Source organism: Homo sapiens, chromosome 14 (genome assembly GCF_000001405.40).
Source record: "Homo sapiens chromosome 14, GRCh38.p14 Primary Assembly".
Classification (NCBI taxonomy): domain Eukaryota; kingdom Metazoa; phylum Chordata; class Mammalia; order Primates; family Hominidae; genus Homo; species Homo sapiens.
The window spans coordinates 58,126,502-58,143,593 of record NC_000014.9 but is presented as its reverse complement, the minus strand read 5'-3'; the positions used below and the strand labels follow the sequence as shown (position 1 = coordinate 58,143,593).

The 17,092-nt window shown below is 40.1% G+C and overlaps 1 protein-coding gene and 1 pseudogene across 2 annotated transcripts in view, besides 1 other annotated feature; one reads left to right on the top strand and one right to left on the bottom strand.

The window, feature by feature from the left end:
* The window catches only part of ARMH4 (armadillo like helical domain containing 4), a 151,453-nt gene that overhangs the window by 8,620 nt on the left and 125,741 nt on the right, over positions 1-17,092 (top strand). For both annotated transcript variants that reach the window (NM_001001872.4, NM_001320173.3), the window contains exons 2-4: positions 4,180-5,604; positions 10,253-10,504; positions 11,873-12,082. In NM_001001872.4, coding sequence (NP_001001872.2) covers positions 4,236-5,604; positions 10,253-10,504; positions 11,873-12,082 — 1,831 coding nt within the window. In that variant the 5' untranslated portion in view covers positions 4,180-4,235. The remainder of the gene's footprint in view (positions 1-4,179; positions 5,605-10,252; positions 10,505-11,872; positions 12,083-17,092) is intronic.
* On the bottom strand, positions 1,834-2,354 carry UBA52P3 (ubiquitin A-52 residue ribosomal protein fusion product 1 pseudogene 3; annotated as a pseudogene).
* Positions 14,421-14,922: an enhancer, noted in NCBI's record as "NANOG hESC enhancer chr14:58595390-58595891 (GRCh37/hg19 assembly coordinates)". NCBI's record gives its function as "activates a minimal SCP1, AML or CMV promoter by ChIP-STARR-seq in primed H9 embryonic stem cells {active_cell/tissue: H9 hESC(primed)}" and the evidence as "EXISTENCE:reporter gene assay evidence [ECO:0000049][PMID:30033119]".

Sequence of the window (17,092 nt, the reverse complement as noted above, 5' to 3'; positions counted from 1 at the left end):
TATTTGGGAGGCTGAGGCAGGAGAATCACTTGAACCTGGGTGACAGAGGTTGCAGCGAGCCGAGATGGCATCAGTGCACTCCAGCCTGGGCAACAGAGTGAGACTCCATCTCAAAAATAAACATACAAATAAACAAAAACAATGCTAGCTACCAGCATGTAATTTAATATTCAGATATGTTTGTTTCAAACCCCCATCAGCATATGGGGAAACTTAGCACCCGTCTCATTATCCTTGCAGATTGTTTGGGGACTTATGTTTCTTCTAGTCATCTCTGGCTTCAGTTTTCTTCAGCTAAATTTGTAATCCCTGATAGGCTGTTTCTTTTCTGCACATGACACTATTGTACTCGTGCTGTCATTCCATTCCTGTATTTCCCTGCAGCATTGTGGACTCAAGATTTCTGTGTAACAAATTACCCCGTAGCTTAGTGGCTTGAAATAACAATAAATATTTGTTATTTTATACCAGTTCTATGCATCATGAATTTGGGAGTAACTTAGCTGTGTGGTTATGGCACAAAGTCTTTCAAGAAGGTGTAGTCAAGATGTCAGCCAGGGGTGCAGTCATCTGAAGGGTTGACTGGGGCTGCTGGACCCATTTCCAAGATGGTACACTCATGTGGTGGTGGTAGTTGGCAGGAAGCCTTAGCTCTAAATCCATGGATTCCTTTTTTCTCACGTAGAAAAAGTCAGTCTTCTTGTGCTGTGTGGTGGTATGTGCCTGTAGTCCTACCTACTTAGGAGCTTGATGCAGGAGGATTGCTTGAGCCCAGGAGTTCAAGTCCAGCCTGGGGAAAGAAAAAAAGAGAAGAAAGGGAAAGGAAGGGGAGGGGAGCTCACGCTTGTAATTTCAGCACTTTGGGAGGCTGAGGCAGGTGGATCACTTGAAGTCAGGAGTTCAAGACCAGTCTGGCCAACATGGTGAAACCCCGTCTCTAATAAAAATACAAAAATTAGCCAGGCATGGTGGTGCACGCCTGTAGTCCCAGCTACTCGGGAGGCTGAGGCACAAGAACTCAAGAGGCGGAGGTTGCAGTGAGTGACTCGCACTGCATTCCAGCCTGGGTGACAGAGTGAAACTCCATCTCAAAAAGAAAAGAAAAAAGAAAAGAAAAGAGAAGAGAAAAGAAAAGAAAAGAAACAAAAAAAGGAGGAAGGAAGGAAAATTCCGGCTTCTTTTTGTCTTCAGCCATGTAGATCATGTCCTGAGGACTTTACCTTTCTTCTTTCTTGAAAGGACCTATAAGACTAAATGAGATAACACATGGAAGCTTTGAAACTCCTTAAGGGAAGAAGGCCTTATGAAAAGAAATTTCTAAATTTCACATGTGCACATCATTTGCTTAACTTAGATCATTGAATGATTAGACATGAAAGCAAGAAAAAAATGTAAACTGTATGAAGTTGAGGTTTTTATTTTAGAATTTTAGTTTCAAGGTTTAATTTTCTAGAAAACTTGCAGCATCTCTGAGAAATTTCTGATGATGGGAAAAGAAAAGGCCCTACTCAGCAAAATAGATTAAAAAAAGAACTGAAACCCTTAAATTTGGGGGTAAATTAACAATTTTAATATAGTTTTAGTTGTAATGAGAATGTGAGTAGTTTATTTCAAATACTACAATAATTTTTTTATCTTATAATAATGGGTATTCAATAAAGATTGCTAATTTTAAAGTATATTTTGTTTTTTTCTGAAACTATTAACCTTGCTTAACTCTTAAACCTTTTCTAATCCTTAAATTTTGAAACATGTTTTGCCTGTAACTTTTATAGTTGTGGCAGAGAATAACAAATGATTTAAGCATTTAAAATACATATTTTCTTTTCTTTTTTTCTGCTCCAGTCAATGAAAGGGACACTTTATTGAGGCCCCAGGGCCATGGGGCCTGGGCAGAAGGCTGCTGCCCTTCAAGGAAGGAAGAGCCTTATTTGACCTTCTTCCTGGGGTACAGGTTGTTGGTGTGGCCGCATTTCTTCTTGTGGCAGTTGATAGCACCGGGGTGCAGGCAAGCATAGCACTTGCAGCAGATCATCTCGTCGCAGTTGTATTTCTGGACGAGCTGGCGGAGGGAAGGCTCAGTAATGCCACCTCGCAGGCGCAGCACCAGGTTTAGGGTGGACTCTTTCTGGATGTTGTAGCCTGAGAGAGTGTGGCCATCCTCCAGCCGTTTCCCAGCAAATATCAGACGCTGCTGGTCAGGTGGGATACCCTCCTTGTCCTGAATTTTGGTTTTGACATTCTAAATGGTGTCGGTGGGCTTGACCTCAAGGGTGATGGTCTTGCCCGTGAGGGTCTTCACAAAGATCTGCATCTCTGCGTCTGCAGCCCGGCCGCCTCGCTGAAGAAAAAGAGCTAAAAGACATATTTTCATTGAAAATTATTTACTTACTTTAAAAAACTCTTAAAAGTAACTGGTATTCAGCATTTAATGATGATATTTAGGGTTTTCAAACCCATTTTTCTTAGTCCATTTGGGCTGCTATAACAAAGTATAATAAACTGGATTTTTATAAACAACAGAAGTTTATTTCTTACAGTTCTGGAGACTGGGAAGTCCAAGATCAAGGTGACAGTAGATTTGGTGTCTGGGTAGGGCCCACTTTCTGGTTCATAGAAGGCACCTTTTTGCTGTGTCCTACATGGTGGAAGGGGCCAGGGAGCTCTTGGGGGTCTCTTTATTTTATTTTGAGATGGAGTTTCACTCTTGTCGCCCAGGCTGGACTGTGATGGCGCGATCTTGGCTCATTGCAACCTCCGCCTCCCGGGTTCAAGCGATTCTCCTTCCTCAGCCTCCCAAGGAGCTGGGATTACAGATGCCCGCCACCACACCCAGCTAATTTTTTTGTATTTTTAGTCAAGACGGGGTTTCACCATGTTGGCCAGGCTGGTCTTGAACTCCTGACCTCAGGTGATCCGCCCGCCTTGGTATCCCAAAGTGCTGGGATTTCAGGTGTGAGCCACTGCACCCGGCCCTCTTTTATATTTTATTTATTTATTTATTTATTTATTTATTTTTGAGACGGATTCTCCTGTCCAGGCTGGAGTGCAGTGGCATGATCTCAGCTCACTGCAACCTCTGCCTCCCAGGTTTAGGCAACTCTCTTGCCTCAGCCTCCCGAGCAGCTGGGATTACAGATGTGTGCCACCATGCCTGGCTAATTTTTGTATTTTTATCAGAGATGGGGTTTCACCATGTTGGCCAGGCTTGTCTCAAACTCCTGACCTCAAGTGATCTGCTGGCCTCGGCCTCCTAAAGTGCTGGGATTACAGGTGTGAGACACTGTGCCTGGCCTGGGGTCTCTCTTTTTTTTTTTTGAGATGGAGTTTTGCTCTTGTTGCCTAGGCTGTAGTGCAATGGCACGATCTCAGCTCACTGCATCCTCTGCCTTCCGGGTTCAAGCGATTCTCTCGCCTCAGTCTCCTGAGTAGCTGAGATTACAGGTGCCTACGCCCACTCCCACTCCCAGCTAATTTTTGTATTTTTAGTAGAGATGGGGTTTCACCATGTTGGCCAGGCTGGTCTCTAACTCCTGACCTCAGGTGATCCACCCATGTCAGCCTCCAAAGTGCTGGGATTACAGGTGTGAGCCACTGTGCCTGGCTCTGGGGTCTCTTTTATAAGGGCATAAATCCCATTCACGAGGGTTCTGTCCTCATGAAGTCATCACTTCTCAAAGGCCTTACTTCCTAATACTACCATGTTGCTGATTAGGTTTCAACACATGAATTCTGGGGGCCACAAACATTCAGACTGTGGCAACACTTAAAAAGTTATTTGAATGAATGTGTAAGACTTACTTTTTATTTCTTGGACATGTTGCTATTTCTACAGTCATTTGACTACATGGTTAATAGAGGAATTTGGAGAGAATATTGCAAATGTGACTTCAAGGGTAAATTATTTCAAGTAGGTATTTAAGAAACAACGAACTTAATACTTGAACTATGTGTACCTTTTTCTAGGGAACCTCAAGTTAAATCAGCAAAATTCAGCAGGGAGAAATGAACTGGGTTATCCATGTCTCAAAGGTACAAAGAAATAGAACAGTCCTCTCCTACCTACCATCTCTGTGTATTATAAAGTCAAGGAGATTATTTTACTTATGGTTTAATTTAAAGAGACTTATTTACAACATGTATTTATATGACAGTTTGATATGCTTTATTTTTCTGCAGGATTCAATTACTGGACTTGTCAACTCTGCCAGTGTACGTGCCATTTCTCTTCCACTATGAGAGGACCGATTGTATTGCACATTTGTCTGGCTTTCTGTAGCCTTCTGCTTTTCAGCGTTGCCACACAATGTCTGGCCTTCCCCAAAATAGAAAGGAGGAGGGAGATAGCACATGTTCATGCGGAAAAAGGGCAGTCCGATAAGATGAACACCGATGACCTAGAAAATAGCTCTGTTACCTCAAAGCAGACTCCCCAACTGGTGGTCTCTGAAGATCCAATGATGATGTCAGCAGTACCATCGGCAACATCATTAAATAAAGCATTCTCGATTAACAAAGAAACCCAGCCTGGACAAGCTGGGCTCATGCAAACAGAACGCCCTGGTGTTTCCACACCTACTGAGTCAGGTGTCCCCTCAGCTGAAGAAGTATTTGGTTCCAGCCAGCCAGAGAGAATATCTCCTGAAAGTGGACTTGCCAAGGCCATGTTAACCATTGCTATCACTGCGACTCCTTCTCTGACTGTTGATGAAAAGGAGGAACTCCTTACAAGCACTAACTTTCAGCCCATTGTAGAAGAGATCACAGAAACCACAAAAGGTTTTCTGAAGTATATGGATAATCAATCATTTGCAACTGAAAGTCAGGAAGGAGTTGGTTTGGGACATTCACCTTCATCCTATGTGAATACTAAGGAAATGCTAACCACCAATCCAAAGACTGAGAAATTTGAAGCAGACACAGACCACAGGACAACTTCTTTTCCTGGTGCTGAGTCCACAGCAGGCAGTGAGCCTGGAAGCCTCACCCCTGATAAGGAGAAGCCTTCGCAGATGACAGCTGATAACACCCAGGCTGCTGCCACCAAGCAACCACTCGAAACTTCCGAGTACACCCTGAGTGTTGAGCCAGAAACTGATAGTCTGCTGGGAGCCCCAGAAGTCACAGTGAGTGTCAGCACAGCTGTTCCAGCTGCCTCTGCCTTAAGTGATGAGTGGGATGACACCAAATTAGAGAGTGTAAGCCGGATAAGGACCCCCAAGCTTGGAGACAATGAAGAGACTCAGGTGAGAACGGAGATGTCTCAGACAGCACAAGTAAGCCATGAGGGTATGGAAGGAGGCCAGCCTTGGACAGAGGCTGCACAGGTGGCTCTGGGGCTGCCTGAAGGGGAAACACACACGGGCACAGCCCTGCTAATAGCGCATGGGAATGAGAGATCACCTGCTTTCACTGATCAAAGTTCCTTTACCCCCACAAGTCTGATGGAAGACATGAAAGTTTCCATTGTGAACTTGCTCCAAAGTACGGGAGACTTCACGGAATCCACCAAGGAAAACGATGCCCTGTTTTTCTTAGAAACCACTGTTTCTGTCTCTGTATATGAGTCTGAGGCAGACCAACTGTTGGGAAATACAATGAAAGGTAAAAGAAAGAAAAAGAAAAACAAACTTTGGTTTAATTTGGAAACTTTCAATTTTTTTTTTAATGGCAATTTAGAAATAGGTTGAAGTTTTAATGAAAAGCAGGCCAGGTGCAGCAGCTCATGCCTATAATCCCAGCATTTTCGGAGGCCGAGGTGTGAGGATTGCTTGGGCGCAGGAGTTCGAGACCAGCTTGGGTGATATAGTGAGACCTCTTCTCTGAAAAAGAATAAAAAAATGAAATTTAAAAAATAAAAAGAAAAGCAGAAGCATACAAATACATCATCTATTTTATATAAAAATTACACCCAATTCCTGTAATTCCAGCACTTTGGGAGGCCAAGGCAGGCGGCTTACTTGAGGTCAGGAGTTCGAGACCAGCCTGGCCAACATGGTGAAACCCCATCTCTATTAAAATACAAAAATTAGCTGGGTGTGGTAGCAGGTGCCTGTAATCCCAGCTACTCGGGAGGCTGAGGCAGGAGAATCACTTTAACCTGGGAAGGCGGAGGTTGCAGTGAGCCAAGATTGTACCACTGCACTCCAGCCTGGGTGACAAGAGTGAAACTCCCTCTCAAAAAAGAAAAAGAAAAAAAAATTACACCCAAATTTAAATCCTGCCTATAGACCAGTGTTCTTTAACTGGGGATAGTTTTATTTTGCTTTCCCCTTCCCCCAGGGGACATTTAGCAATGTTTGGAGACATTTTTAGTTGTTAGAACTGAGGGGTGCTAAGATATTGTTAAATATCTTAGACTACGTAGGACAGCCCCCCATAACAAAGAATTATCCCAGCCAACATGTTAATAGCGCTGAGGTTGAAAAACCCTGATACTATTATTTTTATTTTAGACTAATATTTTTCAAACATTTTACTATGAAAATGTATAAATATACAAGAAAATGTGAAAGAATTAGCTATATGTTTAAACTGTAATAATGTTGGATACTTACATACACATTGTTGTAAAATATGCTCACATCCCTTACATTTCTTACAAAAAAAGCTTTAGGTAAGTACTGCAGTTATCTCATAGTATTAACTATATGAATTTTCTAACTTTGTTTTCCTAAAAAGAAAACATTTAGAAATAAGGAAGGGGGTAGGGTGGAAGATAAATCATCTGCTTGCTTGGTTCTGCATTTTCTACTTTCTTTTGGCCTTTGCATCCGTGAATATTATAAGCTGGAAAGCCTTCTATTTGTTGTTGATGGATAATGGTTTTCTTTTATTATGGGTAGTTGGACAGATAACAACATTGGGAAGGAAAAGCTTAGTGTAATGTATACATGCTCATTCCAAATTGTTTTGGAACATGTACAACGTGTTACTTCAGCCAAGTAGCCCAATTAATAGAAAATATCAAATCAGTAATATGTTTTATAAGGTGTTGAGATTGAATTAAAATGGTGAAAGATCACTTGATAAATGACAAAAGAAAGATTGAATTTTACATGTCTAATTCATTTTTGTTTAAAGACCCAGTGTGCTGTTCAGTTTTCATAGAAGCTTCCATAAAATGTCTTGTAAGTTGGTTTTTACATGGAGTTGGGTGCACATGGCCATGAAGACCTTAGATATGACTGAGCAACAAGTTTACTTCAGTTCTTCATAGAACTTTTACTTTTGGAGCATTAAGTCATATAGCCCCAGATTGTTCACTGCACAATTGAATCCATGATTCTTATGTACTAAACTTGTATTAGCTTCTATTAGTACAGCCTAAAAAGTAAAATGGAATTGGTAATTTCCTGATTATTTTGGTTTTTGAATATGGTTCTTAGTCATAATTGCCTCAGCAAATTATAATCTTTTAAAAGGCCACTACTTTTAATTTCTAGCACATAGCACAATTCCTGGCACATAGTAGGAACTCGATAAATATGTTTTCAATTAATTTACAAATGAGGATATAGAACCATTCAGACTGGAGTTATCCAATGTGATTGCCTACCTTACCCAAAGTCAATCAAACAACTTCTAAATGTTCTTTGTACCAAGAGGAACAGTCAAGTTATTACTTTTGTTTTACTTTTTTTTTTGTCCCATAGAGTTAAAAGGAATGGGAAAGATTGCAATTATTGACAGCAGTTGTTATACAATAGCCAAAATGTTTTACTACTCATTTTCAGGTGATCATAAGTATTTTTCTGAAGTAAACAACTTAAATGCTAATCATTTAGAGTCCAGGGACCACTTAGGACATTATCTTCTTCAGAATATGCAATGATTTCTTGGTGTTTTTAGATATTATTAACAGATGGGTATGTTGAGATGATAGTCAGTCCTTTGAGTCAGTTAGCTGCTTCAACTGAAGATCAGGTTTTAAAAATAATATATAATTATTTTTTCTCCTACATGAAGTAGGAAGAATGAGAGATGTTAGGAAACTTTAAAGTTTATTTTAAAAAATTTTATTACTATTTCTAGTTCTCACTTTTCTAACAGCAATTATTTATTCAAGATACTATGCATTTTGACATTTCTTGCTATTTCATAAAATTACAAATAGCGCCTGCATATTTATTTTTGTATATATGTTCTCAAAAGTGTTCATTATGCTTTCAAAAATGAGGGCAACATAGAGAACACCTACTGCTTAAAATGGTAAAACTATATGTTATTGTCTTCTTGTGGCAAACAGAGCATTGCCCTATGTGCTAGAGGTACAGAAAGACAATGAATCCTGGCTCTCTAGGGATTTACAGTAATATTGGAGAAAGGAAAAAAAGAGAGACAAAATTCAAACAATGGTATAGAGTGCAAATATGAAGCTCATGTGAAAACCTTACCCTGACTCACATTGTTTGTCCTGTAACCAGGTATATTAATCCATCAAATGTAAAAATCTCTTCAATTCAAAAGGAAAAATAGTGTTAACTGGATGAGTACCAAGAAAAGGAACTGCTTATAGTGAAAAACAAACAAATACACATTATTTTAAAGCAAATACATTGTTTACAAGGCAACTTTTTTTTAAAGTAATAGGATATGCCATGATGTCATTAATAAATTTTTTTTTTTTTTTTTTTTGAGACAGAGTCTCCCTCTGTCATCTAGGCTGGAGTGTAGTGGCATGATCTCAGGTCATTGCAACCTCCGCCTCCTGGGTTCAGGCAATTGTCCTGCCTCATCCTCCCGGGTGGCTGGGATGACAGGAATGTGCCACTATGCCCAGCTAATTTTGTTGTGTTTTTAGTAGAGATGGGGTTTCACAATATTGGCCAGGCTGGTCTCGAACTCCTGACCTTGTGATCCTCCCGCCTCAGTCTCCCAAAGTGCTGGTATTACAGGCATGAGCCACCGTGCCTGGCCTGTCATTAATAAAAACTTTGAGGAACCCTTTTAAAGCTATCCCTAGAATGTTATTTTTCATTGTATAACTTACTGATCTTGCTAAAATACTTAGTATCTAGAACTAATATTTTAAAAAAGACAATAAGGTTTTCAAGAAATTAAGTTTTTAGTAGTTGCTCTGTACAGTGTTTGAAATTTCTAGCATAGCCCCTTCATAAGAGGGAAAATCTTGACTTATAAGTAGTCTGTTGAAGGCAAAACATTTATATGATCTGAAGAGAAAGCAGAGTATTATTATAAACAGTCTTTAATACTGTATTTGAGGGAATTATAATGTTGTAAAGCAAGTGGACCTGTGACAGATAATGTCATACCCTGCCAGTTCTATTCATTTCCTTTTCTGATCTGAAAGCAAATGCACACCTTCTACAGAGGCCTCTCCAAGGTGTTCCTTGGGCATAGTTAGTACAGTGGTTAAGGGTGCTGGCAATGTGAACAAAGGCATGCTCCTTAGCTTTTCTAAACCTAAGTTCTGTAAAGTGGAGTTATAATAGCTGGTAATTATTGAATACTTACCAAATACTAGGTGTTTTACTTGTGTTATCTAATCTTTGTAGTAACTCTGTGAGATAGATACTATTATTATCCCCATTTTATAGCTGAGGAAACTCAAGGCCCACATATGTGAAGTAATTTGTTTATGCTTACACAGCTAGTAAGTGACTAAGGCAGGTTGGCTCTGGAACCTGCATTCTTGAGCACTATGATGCAGCTTCTGTGGAATGATATTAGTACCTATCTCCCTGTAGTACATATGGGAGGATGCATACTTAAGATACTATATGTCATGCACTTCGCATGGTGTTTAACATAGAAACTCAGTAAATATTAGTTATTGTAATTATTACTCCTTTATTTTAAAATGTGAGCTTCCCTTGACCCTCCAGAAATGCAAATGTGAAAATTAATACACTGTATACAAATGTTTCTGAGAGTTTTTGAGTGTAACTTAGTTCTGTATAACTTGTTTCTTAACAAACTGATTATGTTGACATTCAAACATGTGCCTGAAAGGGAGCTCAGCAATTGATCTTCCTACTTTGTTTTAGATTTCATTTTAGCTTTTTCCATGAACTTCTTTATCTCTGTTGTAGATTGATTCACAACTACTGAAAGCGTGACAGAGAAAACATTTATTTACTGTCATTTTACTTCTGAGTTCTCTCTTTGCTTCCCCAGTTCCTGAAATAGCATCTGCTCCCCTCCCCCCAAGTTTTTAATCATATCATGATTTTTTTTTTTTAAAAAAATAGGGATTTGGTCTATTTTTAAATGTTTTCCCCCCTTTAAGACATCATCACTCAAGAGATGACAACAGCTGTTCAAGAGCCAGATGCCACTTTATCCATGGTGACACAAGAGCAGGTTGCTACCCTCGAGCTTATCAGAGACAGTGGCAAGACTGAGGAAGAAAAGGAGGACCCCTCTCCTGTGTCTGACGTTCCTGGTGTTACTCAGCTGTCAAGAAGATGGGAGCCTCTGGCCACTACAATTTCAACTACAGTCGTCCCTTTGTCTTTTGAAGTTACTCCCACTGTGGAAGGTCTGTAAGGGAGGATATTGGACTCTGTTTTGGGGGTGGATCTCTTCTGTTAAGTGGACTAGGAATAGAATGAGTGAGGCAGCCGACATTGCCATCAGCGCGCGCGTGCGTGCACGTACACACACACACACACCTTTACCTGGAAAGGGGTGTGAGCTCTGTCCTGTTTGAAGAGGTGTGGCAGAGCCTTAAAAGGACAAGGGTTGGCCGGGCGCAGTGGCTCACGCCTGTAATCCCAGCACTTTGGGAGGCTGAGGCGGGTGGATCACGAAGTCAGGAGATTGAGACCATCCTGGCCAACGTGGTGAAACCCCGTCTCTACTAAAAATACAAAAAATTACCCAGGCGTGGTGGCGGGCGCCTGTAGTCCGAGCTACTCGGGAGGCTGAGGCAGGAGAATGGTGTGAACCCGGGGGGCGGAGCTTGCAGGGAGCGGAGATGGCGCCACTGCACTCCGGCTTGGTGACAGAGCGAGACTCCGTGCCAAAAAAAAAAAAAAAAAAAAAAAGGGACAAGGGTTTAGTTTGTAAGTAAGGTCTCCTGGTGGCTCACCTCTGGGTCCTCAAAGGCCAGACCCCCTGAGAAGGCTCTTCCTGTTTGGCAACTCTGCTGCTAGGAGCCGGGGGGGATGAGGTGAAAAAAGCATGGACCTGAATTTGAATCGCAACTTTGGCTTTCACTAATATTGTAGCCTCAAGCTAAGTTTCTTAACTTCTGTAAGCTTTGGTTTGTTCACCTCTAAATAATGCCTATCTGTTTTATAGGTTATTTTAAGAATTTGAAATCATGTCTACAAAGTGCTTTCTATATAGGAGGCTCTCAAATGCTCTGATCTCTTAAAGGCAGTGAAGTTTTCAAATCTATGTGAAAGCTACTGCTGTTCTAGAGTCTCTGGACTTGGGAATTCCTGGGGCTATATTTGGCTGCTTTTAAATTGACATTCCAGACCCAGATCTAGGCTCTTACTCTATGACTTGATTTTGAGAAAGACACTCGATCTTTCCAAAGTAGTCTTTGAAATACAGTTTAATATATTTTTGTTAATTATTTTACCTTTGGCAATACATAATATAAAATCTTACAACATCCATAATATTGCCAATAGAATAAATGGGAGATTAAAATTTAAAAACAAAGTTCTGATTAGAGATAATACATTTTCCTGTAAGACAATACATTTTCCTGAAAGTCTTTGCTTTGGGGAGTTGGATTAATACAATATGGGAAAGGAGAGCTGACCCAAGTGCCAAACTTGCTGTATTGTATGATATTGGTTTAATCATTTCTTGCCTAAAAAGTGAAAGCACATGCTTACATTTGCCATAATGATTATCTTGTGGGTCAAGTCCTGTCTGTTGTGTTTGGCAGAACAAATGGACACAGTCACAGGGCCAAATGAGGAGTTCACACCAGTTCTGGGATCTCCAGTGACACCTCCTGGAATAATGGTGGGGGAACCCAGCATTTCCCCTGCACTTCCTGCTTTGGAGGCATCCTCTGAGAGAAGAACTGTTGTTCCATCTATTACTCGTGTTAATACAGCTGCCTCATATGGCCTGGACCAACTTGAATCTGAAGGTATTCATGCTTTGAAGGGGATCTTTTCAAGGACTGGTTGAGTGAGTCACTGAGCAAATGTTTTTGAAAAAGAATTAAGTAGGAGTATATTCAATCTGCAGTATAGATCAGAGGACAGTAAACTACAGCTGGGCCAAATCTGGCCTGCCACTTGTTTTTGAATGGTTTGTAAGCTAAGAATGGTTTTTACATTTTGAAATGATTGAAAAAAAAAGTCAAAAGAAGAATAATATTTTGTGACATAGAAAAGTTATAAAAATTCAAATTCCAGTGTTCATAAATAAAGCTATATTGGAACACAGCCATACTAATTCATTTTCATATGTGTGTGGCTGCTTTTGTGCCATAGCAGCAGAATTAAGAAGCTGTGACAGAGACTCAGTGGCCCACAAAGCCTGAAACATTTATGATAGGGCCCTTTATAGAGCAAGTTTGCTGACTGTGCTATGGATCTGTGGTTCTCAACTATAGTTGACCATTAGAAATACCTTGGAGAGCTTTTGAAACATCCCAGTGCCTGAATCACTCTCCAGTGATTGAGATTAAGATGGTGGGGGGTGGAATCTGGCATCAGCATTTTAAAAGACTGCCTTAGATGATTTCAGTATTCAAGCTGGATTGAGAATACTAGGTTAAGATGGAGATGTTGAGTTTCCCCACCAGATTTTCTTGGTTGCAAGTTTTAATGTGGGGTGTATTTTAACAGCATTGCTCTGGTTGTTAATGCTGGGTTATTCTCCCTTAGTAACATCTCTGGGTTAGTCTGTGCTACTATTTGGAGATAGGCAGTCTCTTTATTTACTAAGACCAAGAAATTCATGCCAAATTGTACTTTCCAAGACATTGGCTTTGAGCATGTAAAAGAAACTTGAGGCACGGCTGCCTATCAACAAATAAGAAGACTAGAAATATGACACATAGTCACGTAATTAATCAGCATTTTGGCAGGTGAATAGTTCCTGGCTGGAGATACAAAATGTCCAGAGATTTATAGTGCAGAATTTCTTAAACTAATCTGGAACACTGGTAAGCTTTTGGGCACTCAATTAGCCATGTGTTTGCTGCAGTAAGAGACATAGGATGTGCTATTATTTTTTTTTGTCTAAAGCGAAGGGAAGGAGGTTGAGCTAGGTTTGCAGCTGACTCTGGTGCAGACTTTCTGGGTAACACTGGTTGGCTGCTGACAGAGGAACATGACATTTTAGGAGCAGTGTGGAGAATTCCACAGTAGAAGCCTGGTTTAAGAAACAGATCAAAGTGGGCTCAAAGGCTAACAGCTCTTGCATTCCACATTAAGATAAATACTGTATGACTTTGAGTTTAGCGTCTCATATAAACTGTCTGCTCTCCTTGATGCCATCTGGAAAAAGCAGGTTTCCCTAAATTAACCTGAGTTAGACATGACAGCTTTACCCAGCAGGGCTCATTAAATCAGAGAAAAAAAATATTTGTGAATAATCCATACTTGTGAAACTGCAGTAACTTTCTAAATTTAGTAGATGATGGCAGTTGTATTGAAATATGTTAGAATTTTCCGACATGCCTAAGGTGTCCTGGGGTTTTAGTTCTTTTCTTCTACACAATTCAATTTTGCTACTTTTTGATAATATATTTTGTTAGTTTTTGATCTAAATTATCCTTGTCATGGGTTACAAAAATATTTTTGGTCAAAAGATATTATTTTTGCTACATTGTCGGGCTTAGGATTTTGAATTAGCACATTTTTACTCGTAAATGCCAAGGAGTACAACTTATGTTTAATTAGTATACGTTAATAATACCATTGTTAGTTTTATGCTGGTGCTTCTAGTCCTCCAAAAGCTGAATTGACTACACTGATTTAAACAAATCAACCTACTAGACTCCTGGATGTATTGGAGGCCTCTATTTTCAATGCATGTTTTTCTACCTTGCCCGGGAATATAAGTGCAGCTTGAAGCTTTGACTGGGTGAAACATTTTAATTCTTCCATAAGCTTATGCCTAGAGGCAGGTAATTTTTTTTCTTATCTAGAACCCTGTATTACTTACGTCAGGTTAGCAGCCTTTCTTGTTTTAGTCTTTGTGATGAGTTTATATGTTATTTTAATATCTTCCTTTTTCACTAGGGGGCAGGAGCATTTCTCTGGGAAATGAGGTACTTTTCTCCATGGGATTTGGAAAGGGACATCCTTTGTTAGACATTAGACACCAAAGAAGAATGAACCTTTATGGAAATTTCTGAATCCGCAGCTCTGTTTATCCTTTAAGCGATAACTAACAGCCCAAATCAGTCTAAAAATGATGTCTACTTGCACCCTGTCTTCTTCCCTGCTTCTCACATCTCTACAACATGATGACTGAGAGGGGGTATGAGTTTTCAAGGGCTGTCATAACTAAGTACCACAAACTGGGTGGCTTAAAACAACAGAAATTTATTCTTACGCAGTCTGGAGCCTGCAAGTTGGAAGTCAAGGTATAGGCAGGGCTTGCTCTCTCCAAAGCCTCTAGGGGAGGAACCCCAGGGTTTCCTTGGCTTGAGGCAGCATGACTCCAATCTATTCACATGGCCGTCTGTGTCTCTGTGCTCAAGTTTTCCTTGCTTTTTAAGAACACCAGTCATTGGATTAGGGCCCATCCTAATGACCTCATGTTAATTATGTATGCCAAGACCCTGTTTTCAAATATGGTCACATTCACTGGTACTACCGGTCAGGACTTGAACATACCATTTTGAGGGACACAATTCAACATGTAACAGGGGTCTGCTTCTGAAGAGTTTGCCAGCTGTCTGTGAAGACAGACGTGCTACCTGAGTGATGTGAATTGGTAGAGTGGGAGAAGTTTTGGTGTGTTTTCCTTTTCTTAGTCACTGAAGAAAGCCTGCCTTGATAAGTGCCTGCCACCTTGTGCATATTTCAGTGTCTTTTATCTTGTCAGCAAAAATGCAGTTTGATTTTTGAAGGGATAATGGTTTATTTTTCACCTTGCCTGTTACATTTGATTTCTATGTATGACTTTTTTTTAGGGATAAATATTCTCACAATGATAAATGCCTTATACTCATTTCAGGCATACCTCTACGAGGGCTGTATTTAGCAGCTTTGAAATACAAACATAACAAACATGTTCTTTTTATTCAAAATGGGATAATGACAAATTTTATACATATTTTATAACTGCATAAATTAATTTTTGGACATGATCTTTGTATAGGTTGATTTTCTTCTCTTGTTGAATATTAATGTCTTTCCTGCTCTAAAATGCCAACTTAAAATTTCTGATTAGTCTTGAAAACATACCTGGAATTTATGTGGGTTAACTCTTTAAAATATTTTAGTACTAATATTTCTTACCTACTTAAAGAAGTCCCGCTTTCTGTATGTTAGAAATCTGTCTGAAGATATCTGCTTACTCTAAATAAATCAAACTTTTATTTTATTCTTTCTGTATACCCCCATGGAAGATGGAAATTAATCTGTGCTCTGAAGTGGTAATAATAATTCTGTAGAATGGAAGGTTGTTGCTTTGGCAATTCCATATTCAGAAAAATCTACTGTGGGTCTATTTGTGTCAGATAGTAGGTTTCTAAGAACATATGGGAGATAAGAATATAAAAACAGAGATTTCTCAGATCTTGTGATTAAGTCTTTGACGGTCCTCCCTCCCACCCCCCGCACTTCTTCCCTTAATATTTGGAAGTCAATATCTGGGCCTTCCAGCTAGCGGGAAATGGGGAGCCAGTTGGTGCTTGCCATGGTGCGGACCACACAGAGACAGGAATACAGTGACAGGAACACTGAATTTGCTTGGACTCTTCTGGGTTAGCTCTTCTGCAAGAAAAAAGCAATTCCAGTGTTCCTCATCTGGGGAACTTGAATTCTTGATCCGATTGGTCTTATTTAATATCTTTCTGTGGGCATGCATGTTGAGTGTTGCGTATAATCCCATGATATTGTCTCAACCCTGTATTAGTCTGTTCTCATGCTGCTAATAAAGACATACCTGAGACTGGGTAATTTATAAAGAAAAGAGGTTTAATAAAGTGAAAGAGGTTCCACATGGCTGGGGAGGCCTCACAATCATGGCGAAAGGCAAAGGAGTAGCAAAGTTACATCTTATATGACAGCAGGCAAGAGAGCTTGTATAGGGGAACTGCCCTTTATAAAACCATCAGATCTCTTGAGACTTATTCACTGTCATGAGAACAGCATGGGAAAGACCCACCCCCATGATTCAGTTACCTCCCACTGGGTCCCTCCCATGGCACATGGGGATTATGGGAGCTACAATTCAAGATGAAATTTGGGTGGGGACACAACCAAACCATATTAAATCCCCATTTCCTCATTTGTTTCAAAAGGCCCGCTTATTATAGACCTTATGAAACAAACTCATAATAATTGACTTGCTGGAGAATTACCTTTAACATAGAGATTTTTAATTCTTGGCCGGGGTAATCCCAGCACTTTGGGAGGTCGAGGCAGGTGGATCACGGGGTCAGGAGATCGAGACCATCCCAGCTAACACAGTGAAACTCCACCTCTACTAAAAATACAAAAAATTAGCCAGGCATGGTAGCACACACCTATAATCCCAGCCACATGGGAGGCTGAGGCAGGAGAATCACTTGAACCCGGGAAGCATAGGTTGCAGTGAGCCGAGATCACACCACTGCATTCCAGCCTGGGCAACAGAGCAAGATTCCATCTCAAAAAAAAAAAAAAAAAATCCAATGGAGAAGCTACGTTTAACTTTCTTTAATAACTTAATTTTTTAAAATACAAAACCAAATATATCCTTTAACTACAGTTTTTTTCTTTTCTGACAGTTTTTGCTTTTCTAAGACTGTTTTGTCTGTCTTTATATTTAGTTTTTAAATGATTGCGTTTTTGACATTTTTTTCCCAGCCAGGCACCATACATGGGGCAGAAAGCTGTCATTATTTTGCCACTCATTGTTTAATCTGTTTCAGAGATATCCATTTTCCTGCCTTCATGTGTGCACATGTGTGCATGCATGTGTATGTGTG